Source organism: Homo sapiens, chromosome 2 (assembly GCF_000001405.40).
Source record: "Homo sapiens chromosome 2, GRCh38.p14 Primary Assembly".
Classification (NCBI taxonomy): domain Eukaryota; kingdom Metazoa; phylum Chordata; class Mammalia; order Primates; family Hominidae; genus Homo; species Homo sapiens.
Window position 1 is genome coordinate 127,549,040 of NC_000002.12, and position 10,957 is coordinate 127,559,996.

The 10,957-nt window shown below is 42.6% G+C and overlaps 1 protein-coding gene across 9 annotated transcripts in view; it reads left to right on the forward strand.

Moving 5' to 3' along the window:
* The window catches only part of MYO7B (myosin VIIB), a 102,044-nt gene that overhangs the window by 13,357 nt on the left and 77,730 nt on the right, over nt 1–10,957 (forward strand). For all 9 annotated transcript variants that reach the window (XR_001738748.2, XM_047444437.1, XM_011511218.3 and 6 more), the window contains exon 2: nt 10,661–10,701. Coding sequence is in view for 8 of the 9 variants with exons in the window: in XM_047444437.1 (XP_047300393.1) it covers nt 10,684–10,701 (18 nt within the window). In the remaining variant the exon portion in view is untranslated. The remainder of the gene's footprint in view (nt 1–10,660; nt 10,702–10,957) is intronic.

Sequence of the window (10,957 nt, forward strand, 5' to 3'; positions counted from 1 at the left end):
TATGTAATATTTCTCTTTATTCCTCATAATATTCCTTGCCCTGAAGTCTGCTCTAAAACTAGTATAGCTACTCCAACTCTCTCTTCTTTCTCTCTTTCTTTCTTCTTTCTTCCTTCCTTCCTTCCTTTCTTTCTTTCTTTCTTTCTCTCTTTCTTTCTTATACAAAACACTGATGTATCTAGCTCTATTTTGATTAGTATAAGCAACCTAATACTAACCCAACCCTTTCTTTTAACCATTTCTCCAACACTTTACTTTTAATTTATCTATGTCTTTAAAAAATAATTTCAACTGGTATTTTTATTAGGGAGTACATGTACAGGTTCGTTACGTGGATACATTGCGTGATGCTGAGGTAGAAATGATCCCGTCACCCAGGTAGTGAGCGTGGCACTCAATAGGTAGTCTTCACATTTAACATAGGTTTCTTGTGGACAACATATAATTGGGAGCCTCAAGTTTTTAAAAGACAAAATCTCCAGGTCCTAGGGATCATTTGGCTGTGAAGAATAGAAGACTCGGTGTTTCTTTCAGCAATTGTTAGTTTCATTTGCTGAGATAAAGAATGCAGGGGCAGAAGCAGGTTTGGGGATCGAGGAGATGAGGTGCTATGGTCACTTTGAATTTGATGTGCCCATGGCATATCTGAGGGACATGTCCAGGGAGAGGGGCCTTGGTGGGTCTGGAGATCAGGGTAGGGATGAGAGTTGGAGACGCTAATTTGGGACTCAGCAGGGCTATGATCCTGGTGGCCCTGAGAGAGTGGGCACACATAAGGGGAGTGTGCAGGCTGAAAGAGAATAGAACAAGGGCTGGCAGATCAGTGGGAATTAAGCCATCCAAATGGCTTACCCCAAATAATCAAACTGCAAAAAGGCAGAGACAGGATTTCTGTGTTTTGTCTCCTTCCCTCCACATCTGCCAATTTTATTCTCTCAGATCAGCTATTTTTAAGAAGCTAGGACCATAGCTCCTGGTACTTTTGGCATTGTATTTCATAATTTTGGCATTAGAGAAGAAAACCAACCCTCAGCTCCCACTCAGAACATCCCAGAAAAAGCTGTGATTGGCTCTGGCTTGGACCACATGGCCGCTTGGGGTCCCAGGATTCACGAGCTTCTCATCAGCAACACAATTTGAACTAGGGGAGATGTTCCCCATAAGGATATAGGAGGAAGGCATACTGGGCAGACAAAAGTCACCAGCCACTCCCTTGGACACCAAGAGGTCAAGGTGAGTGAAAGGGCCAGGCGCAGTGGCTCATGCCTGTAATCCCAGCACTTTCAGAGGACAAGGTGGGCAGCTCACTTGAGGCCAGGAGTTCAAGACCAGCCTGGCCAACATGGAGAAACCCCATCTCTACTAAAAATACAAAAATTAGCCAGGCATGGTGGAGCATGCCCATAGTCACAGCTATTCAGGAGGCTGAGGATCCCTTGAACCCGGGAGACAGAGTTGCAGTGGGCTGGGATCACGCAACTGCACTCTAGCCTGGGCAACAGATTAAGACTCTGTCTCCAAAAAAAAAAAAAGCTCTAGGAGGAGATTTAGTGGTGCCCCAGAAGCAGAGGGAAAGTCAGGAAAGTGGAGCCTTGTAGGAGCAAAGTGAGATGGTCAGGAAGGCATGAAAGGTGAGAAGGTGGAGGCAGTGTTATGGGGTGGCTGTTTCAGGCAACTTGGCTGTGGGGCAAAACCCAAGGAGGAGGAGGGTATGAAAGCTGGATGGGGACGGTGAGGCTAAGAAAATGCATTTTTAAGATAGACAAGACCTGAGCTTATCACTATTCAGAGGGTAAAGGACCAGGAGAGTGGACGAGGATGAAGATGTGAGGGAGGATAATATACTAGTCACTCATTGCTGCATAACAAGTTATCCCAAACTTTAACAGCTTGGAATAACAAGTATTTATTATCTCACACAAGTTTTGGGGGTCAGAAATCTAAGAGCAGCTTATCTGGGTGGTTCCGGCCCAGGGACCCTCATAGGGTTTGTAGTAGTTGCTTGGGTTGCCATGACCAAATACTGCAGACTGAGGATGGGGTGGGGGTGGGGCTTAAACAATGGAAAAGTATATTCTCCACTGTTCTGGAGGCTAGAAATACAATATCAGGGTGTCAGCAGGGTTGGGTTCTACCAGGCATCTCTCCTTGGCTTGCAGATGTGGGCACAGCCATCTGTCCTCTTGTCATCTCTTCACACAGTCTTCCCTCTGCATGTCTGCATCCTAATCTGTTGTTGACTATAAAATTGTCGTCACAATGTTGGCTGAGCTATGGTGATCTGAAGCCACAACTGGGGCTGGAGGGTCCCTTCCAAGATCACACAGCTGTTAACTGGGGCCCTCAGTTCTCACAACACGGGCCTCTCCTTAGGGCTGTTTGAGCATCCTCACAACCTCCAGGCTCCCCAGGCTGAGAGATCTTAGAGAGAGAGCAAGCAGGAAGCCACAAAGGCTCTACTCCATTCCTTCTACCTTATTCTATTTGGCAAAAGCAAATCACTAAGTCCACACTCGAGATGGGGTGAATTAGTCTCTCTTTTGAAGGGAGATGTGTCAAAGAATTTGGGGACATACATTAAACCACTACAGTAATTGATAAAGCAAGGCCCTAAAGCAGAGGCGGGAGAAGGCAGGGCTGGAAGGATTCGTGTGGGCTGTCAGGGTTCCCTGCCCCTGGGCAGTCATCTAAGTCTGCAGAGATACAGAGGAGACAGGGAGGGGCAGCGTTGGAAGCTGAGTGTTGTTTCTCTCTTGTTTCAGTGAAAGAGGTCAAGGTGTTCTGCGGAGTGGGTGGTGGAAAGGAGCTTTGAAATAGGGATTTTGGCAGAAACAGCTGACTGGGGCCTAAAGAAGGATCTCTGGACACTGCTGAAGGCCTAGAGGAGGTGCAGGCCATGAGACCACCCTGCCCCTGTCTGTAAGGGGGTGGAATACATCCCCAGCCCTGCTCAGCTCCAAGGCTGGGACTTTGCAAGGAGAGATCAGGAATCAGTTCAAGGGAAATCACAGTATTCGCAGGAGGGTGACGGACCACAGGGGCCCACGTCATGTATGCTTCCTTCTGGTTCAAGTTGGCATTTGGAAAAAAAAGTGTGCTTCTTGTATTTTCTTTTCTTTGGGCCTTTTAATTTTTACTTTTAATTGACGCATAATAATTGTACATATGTGTGGGGTACAGTGAGGGTGTTTCAATATGTATTTTATTTTTGTATTCCATTTACAAGTTTTGATCTGACCACTTTCGTTCCAAAAAGATTTGAGGCCGTTTCCAGGCTAGTTGGGGATGGAAATGAAGCCAGGAGGTGGGCTGGTAGACAGAGGAGACATGGAAGGACCCAGGTGTCATGATGGAATGAGAACAAGTTGCTCATGGGACCCAGCTGGGTCCAGGGCGTGTTGTGGTGAGGAGGGGCGGTGGAGGCCACAGCTTCTGAAGCGGAGCAGTTCTGGGCTGTGGGAAGACCAGGCAAGCCATGGAGTGGGGGCCCCTAGGGCTGGGGGTCAGAGGAGGAGACGTCTATGGTATGTGACAGGCCATGTGGGGAATGGCAGGACCAACATGGGGTCTCCTGTGAGGCAGATCCTGGTGTCTGGAGAGGAATGATGGGGCATGCCTGGAGGTCAGATGCTGCAGCGGGGAGGAGGGCAGGACCACGGGTGGGCCTCAAACTTCCACATGGGGTGGAGAATCCAGAATCTGGAAGCAACAATGGGCAGCCAGAGGCAGGGCAATTCCCTCTGTGTCTTTTCCCACCTGCCACCCCCTGAAAGAGCTGTCTGGGAGCCAGGATTCAGTTATACAACAGGTATTCTCTGCATTTTTATACAGGTTCTTAAACATTCCCAAAGCAGAGGATGTGGGGCAAAGAGGAGGGATTTTGGAGCTGGGGAGAAAATTCTCCTTCTTTGCTTACTAACTGCATAGCCTCTGCAAAGTCTCAGCATTTCTCAGCATTTCTCAGTTTTCTCACCTGTAAAACAGAGACAGCAGCATTTCTTCTCAGAGCTTCCTCCGCCACTGTGCACCCTCACTCATCCATCAAAGCCGTTGTCAAAGTCACATCCTCTCCAAGGGCTTCATCTGCTCTTTCACTGGACAAGTATTGACTGATGGCTATGGCCTTATAAGATAGTTTGAATTCAGGTAATGTGATGCCTCCATATTTGTTCTTTTTGTTTAGTCTTGCTTTGGCTATGGGGGATCTTTTTTGGTTCCATATGAATTTTAGGATTGTTTTTTCTAGTTCTGAGAAGAATGATGGTGGTATTTTGATGGGAATTGGCTTGAATTTTTAAATTGCTTTTGGCAGTATGGTCATTTCACAACGTTGATTCTACCCATCCATGAGCATGGGATGTGTTTCCATTTGTTTGTGTTGTCTATGATTTCTCTCAGCAATGTTTTATAGTTTTCCTTGTAGAGGGCTTTCACTTCCTTGGTTAGGTATATGCTTAAGTATTTTATTTTTTTGCAGCTATTGTAAAAGAAGTTGAGTTCTTGATTTGATTCTCAGCTTGGTCACTTTTGGTGTATAGCAGAGCTACTGATTTGTGTACATTAATTTTGTATCCCGAAAATTTGTTGAATTCATTTATCAATTCTAGGAGCTTTTTGGAGGAATCTTTAGGGTTTGCTAGATATACAATCATATCATCAGCAAACAGCAACAGTTTGACTTCCTCTTTACCGATTTGGATGCCTGTTATTTCTTTCTCTTGTCTGATTGCTCTGGCTAGGGCTTCCAGTACTATGTTGAAGAGGAGTGGTGAGAGTGGGAATCCTTGTCTTGTTTCTGTTCTCAGAGGGAATGCTTTCAACTTTTCCCCAATCAGTATTATGTTGGCTGTGGATTTGTCATAGATGGCTTTTATTGCACTGAGGTATGTCCCTTGTATGCCGATTTTGCTAAGGGTTTTAACCATAAAAGGATGCTAGATTTTGTCAAATGCTTTTTCTGCATCTATTGAGATGATCATGTAACTTTTGTTTTTAATTCTATTTATGTGGTGTATCACATTTATTTATTATTTTTATTTATTTATTTATTTTGAGACGGAGTTTCATTCTTGTTGCCCAGGCTGGAGTGCAATGGTGCAATCTCAGCTCACCACAACCTCTGCCTCCCGGGTTTAAGCGATTCTCCTGCCTCAGCCTCCTGAGTAACTGGGATTACAGGCGTGTGCCACCATGTCCAGCTAATTTTGTATTTTTAGTAGAGACAGGGTTTCTCCATGTTGGTCAGGCTGGTCTCAAGCTCCCGGCCTCAAGTGATCCACCTGCCTCAGCCTCCCAAAGTACTGGGATTACAGGCATGAGCCACTGTGCCCGGACGTATCACATTTATTGACTTGCGTATGTTAAACCATCCCTGCATCCCTGGTATAAAACCCACTTGATCATGGTGGATTATCTTTTTGAGATGCTGTTGGATTCAGTTAGCTAGTATTTTGTTAAGGATTTTTGCATCTATGTTCATCAAGGATATTAGTCTGTAGTTTTCTTTTTTGGTTATGTCCTTTTCTGGTTTTGATATTAGGGTGATAATGGCTTCATAGAATAAGTTAGGGAGGATTCCCTCTTTCTCTATGTTGTGGAATAGTATCAATAGGATTGGTTTTCTTTTTTGAATGTCTGGTAGAATTCAGCTGTGAATCTGTCTGGTTCTGGACTTTTTTGTTGTTGCTGGTAATTTTTTTTATTACCATGTCAGTCTTGCTGCTTATTATTGGTCTGTTCAGGGTATCTAATTCTTCCTGATTTAAATTAGGAGGGTGTATTTTTCCAGGAATTCATCCATTTCCTCTAGGCTTTCTAGTTTATGCGTGTAAAGGTGTTCAAGTAGCCTTAAATGATCTTTTGTCTTTCTGTGGTGTCAGTTGTAATACCTCCTGTTTCATTTCTAATTGATTTTTTTTTTTTTTTTGAGATGGAGTTTCACTCTCGTTGCCCAGGCTGGAGCACAGTGGCATGATCTCAGCTCACTGCAACCTCTGCCTCCCAGGTTCAAGCAATTCTCTGCCTCAGCCTCCCAAGTAGCTGGGATTACAGGTGCCCACCACCATGCCTGGCTAATTTTTTGTATTTTTGTTAGAGATGGAGTTTCACCATCTTGGCCAGGCTGGTCTTGAACCCCTGACCTCGTGACCCACTCGCCTTGGCCTCCCAAAGTGCTGGGATTACAGGCTTGAGCCACCGTGCCTGGCCGTCTAACTGATCTTATTTTGATCTTCTCTCTTCTTGGTTAATCTTGTTAATGGTCTATCAATTTTATTTATCTTTTCAAAAAACCACCTTTTTGTTTCATTTATCTTTTGTGGGTTTTTGTTGTTGTTGTTGTTTCAATTTCATTTAGTTCTGCTCTGATCTTGGTTATTTCCTTTCTTCTGCTGGGTTTGGATTTGGTTTGTTCTTGTTTCTCTAGTTCCTTGAGATGTGACCTTCCTTAGATTGCCTATTTGTGCTCTTTCAGATTTTTTGATGTAGGCATTTAAGGCTATAAACTTTCCTCTTAGCATTGCCTTTGCTGTATCCCAGAGGTTTTGACAGATTGTGTAACTATTATCGTTCAGTTTGAAGCATTTTTAAATTTCCATCTTGATTTCATTGTTGACCCAATGATCATTCAGGAGCTAGTTATTTCATTTCCATGTATTTGCATGGTTTTGGAGGTTCCTTTTGGAGCTGACTTCCAGGTTTATTCCACTGTGGTCTGAGAGAGTACTTGATATAATTTCAATTTTCTTAAATTTATTGAGACTTGTTTTGTGGCTTATCGTATGGTCTATCTTGGAGAAAGTTCCATGCACTGAGGAATAGAATGTACATTCTGTGGTTGTGGGGTAGAATGTTCTGTAAATATCTGTTAAGTCCATTCATTCCAGGGTATAGTTTAAATCCATTGTTTTTTTGTTGACTTCTGTCTTGAGGACCTGCCTAGTGCTGCCAGTGGAGTATTGAAGTCCCCGGCTATTAATTGTGTTGCTGCTATCTCATTTCTTAGGTCTAGTAGTAATTGTTTTATAAATTTGGAAGCTCCAGTGTTAGGTGCATGTATATTTAGGATTGTGATATTTTCCTGTTGGACAAGGCCTTTTATGATTATATAATATCCCTCTTTGTCTTCTTTAACTGCTGTTGCTTTAAAGCTTGTTTTGTCTGATATAAGAATAACTACTCCTACTCACGTTTGGTGTCCATTTGCACAGAATGTCTTTTTCCACCCCTTTAAGTTTATGTGAGTCCTTTTGTGTTAGGTGATTTTCTTGAAGGCAGCAGATGCTTGGTTGGTGAATTCTTATCCATTCTGCCATTCTGTATCTTTTAAGTGGCACATTTAGGCCATTTACATTCAACATTAGTATTGAAATGTGAGGTATTATTCCATTCATTATGCTATTTGTTGCCTGTATACCTTTTAATTGCTTTTTTGTTTTATAGGTCCTATGAGATTCATGCTTTAAAGAGGATCTGTTTTGATGTGTTTCCAGGATTTGTTTCAAGATTTAGAACTCCTTTTAGCAGTTCTTGCAGTGCTGGCTTGGTAGTGGCAAATTCTCTCAGCATTTGTTTGTCTGAAAAAGACTGGATCTTTCTTTCATCTATGAAGCTTAGTTTTGCTGGATACAAAATTCTTGGCTGATAATTGTTTTGTTTAAGGAGGCTGAAGATAGGGTCCCAATCCCTTCTAGCTTATAGAGTTTCTGCTGAGAAATCTGCTATTAATCTGATAGGTTTTCCTTTATAGGTTACCTGGTGCTTTTGCCTCACAGCTCTTAAGATTCTTTCCTTTGTCTTGACTTTAGATAACCTGATGACAATGTGCCTAGGTGATGATCTTTATGTGATGAATTTCCCAGGTGTTCTTTCTTGTATTTGGATGTCTAGATCTCTAGCAAGGCCAGGAAGGTTTTCCTTGATTCTTCCCCAAAAAATGTGTTCCAAACTTTTAGATTTCTCATCTTCCTCAGGAATGCAAATTATTCTTAGGTTTGGTTGTTTTACATAATCCCAAACTTCTTGGAGGCTTTGTTCATTTTTTAAAAATCTTTTTTCTTTGTCTTTGTTGAATTGAGTTAATTCTGAATTGGGTTGATTCAGAGCTTGTCTTCAAACTCTGAAGTTCTTTCTTCTGCTTGTTTGATTCTATTGCTGAGACTTTCCAGAACATTTTGCATTTCTCTAAGTGTGTCCCTTGTTTCCTGAAGTTGCAATTGTTTTTTATTTATGCTGTCTGTTTCAATGAAGATTTCTCCCCTCATTTCTTGTGTCATTTTTTTGATTTTCTTAAATTGGACTTTACGTTTCTCTGGTGCCTCCTTGATTAGCTTAATAATTGACCTTCTGAATTCTTTTTCAAGTAAGTCAGGGATTTCTTCTTGGTTTGGACCCATTGCTGGTGAGCTAGTGTGATTTTTTGGGGGTTTTAAAAAAACCCTCATTTTGTCATATTACCAGAATTGTTTTTCTGGTTCCTTCTCATTTGGGTAGGCTATGTCAGAGGGAAGTTCTGGGACTCAAGGCTGCCATTCAGATTCTTTTGTCCCACGGGGTGTTCCCCTGATGTAGTACTCTCCCCCTTTTGTGGTATTGGTATAAAAATAGGCATATAGACCAATGGAACAAAATAGAGAACCCAGTAATAAACCCAATTGCTTACAGCCAACTGACCTTCAACAAAGCAAACAAAAACGTAAAGTGGGGAAATAACACCCTATTCAACAAATGGTACTGGGATAATTGAAAAGCCACATGTAGGAGAGTGAAACTGAATCCTCATCTCTCACCTTATATAAAAATCAACTCAAGATGGATCAAGGACTTAAATCTAAGACCTAAAACTATAAAAATTCTAGACTATAACATCAGAAAATCCCTTCTAGACATTGGCTTAGGCAAAGATTTCATGACCAAGAGCCCAAAAAACAAATGCAACAAATACAAAGATAAATAGGTGGGACTTAATTAAACTAAAGAGCTTTTGCACAGCAAAATGAACAGTCAGCAGAGCAAACAGATAACCCATAAAGTGGGAGAAAATCTTCACAAACTATGCATCTGACAAAGGACTAATATCCAGAATCTACAAGGAACTCAAACAAATTAGTAAGAAAAAAAACCAAACAATCCCATCAAAAAGTGGGCTAAGGTTATGAATAGACAATTCTCAAAAGAAGATATATAAATGGCCAACAAACATGAAAAAATGCTCAACATCACTAATGATCAGGGAAATAGAAATCAAAACTGCAATGTGATACCACCTTACTCCTACAAGAATGGCCATAATTAAAAAATCAAAAAATAAAAGATGTTAGCATGGATGCAGTGAAAAGGGAATGCTTCTACACTGCTGGTGGGAATGTAAACTAGTACAGCCACTATGCAAAACAGTGTGGAGATTCCTTAAAGAACTAAAAGTAGAACTTCCATTTGATGCAGCAATCCCACTACTGGGTGTCTACCCAGGGGAAAAGAACTCACTATTCGAAAAGATACTTGCACGCACATGTTTATAGCAGCATGATTCACAATTGCAAAAATGTGGAACCAGCCCAAATGCCTATCAGTGAACAAGTGGATAAAGAAATTGTGATATCTATGTATCATATATATAGAGATATAGACGTATATATATGATATACATATGTATGATGGAATACTACTCAGCCATAAAAAGGAATGAATTAATGGCTTTCACAGCAACCTGGATGGGATTGTAGACTCTTATTCTAAGTGAAGTAACTCGGGAATGGAAAACCAAACATCGTATGTTCTCACTCATAAGTGGGAGCTAAGCTATGAGGATGCAAAGGTGTAAGAATGATACAATGGACTTTGGGGACTCGGGGAAAGGGAGGGAAGGGGGTGAGGAATGAAAGACTACAAATTGGGTTCCATGTATATTTCGCTGGTGATGCGTGCACCAAAATCCCACAAGTCACGGCTAAAGAGCTTAGCAATAGACCTGGTACCCACCTTGCACTGCTCAGCGCAGGGAGGGGAAGCTGCCAACACTCAGTCAGGGTAACTCGGGGTTTCCTCCTTTAAATGGGACAAGTGGGCTCCTCCCCGCTCCTCCTCCTGCTGGGCCTGGCTGCCTACTTGGGCCTGGCTGCCTGCTCCCTCTAGAACCACCAGGTGCTAAGGACAGGTTTGAAAGGAGGCAGATCCGGGTTTGATTCCCAGCTGTGCTACTAATTAACTGAGTGGCATTTCCTGCATTGAGTCCCATGTCTAAAGTGAGGGAACACGCACATTCTGCAGTGCTGTGAGGCTTAAAGTTGTGTCTATAGCTCCAGTGGCTGCTTACCTGAGCACTTCCCAAGATGTGTGACGGTGACTGGTTTTCATGGATATCTGACCAGTTAAAATTGGGGCTTCTGGATGACAGGGAACCACCTACTCCCTGTATCAAGCCCAGGACTGGGTATGAAATACGTCTTCAATAAAGGTGACATAGGATGAAGAAGCTGAGAACAGCTCTTGCACTTGGGCTAGGACTGTGACTCATTCATCCATTTATTCAGCATTGTTTTTGAGCCAGGTCCCATGCCGGGCACTTAGGGAAGTGTTGGTGAACAAGCCCAGCTCCTGTGCTCCAGGGGCTCCTATTGGGGCTGTGTATGGAGCTGACGTTCTGCTTTCTCTCTCCATACAGGCTTGTGGAACTGCTGACTCAGGATGTCGGGGTTCAGGCTGGTAAGAATTGTATGATTTGATCTAGGGGTTATTGGTGTAAGTTACTCAAGGCCAAGTTGAATCGCTCCCAAGGAAAGAGAGGAAAGGCAATGAGACCCTATAGGAAAATACCAGAGACAGGGGAGTTTAGGAAACACGACAGATTCTAGCATCTAAAGAAAACAAGTTTGGCCAGCCACTGGCCTCGGCAATACATGTATAGTTATGTATAGTTATCCCTCACTTTCATGTAGGGCTTAACATGTCCCTTTGTCTT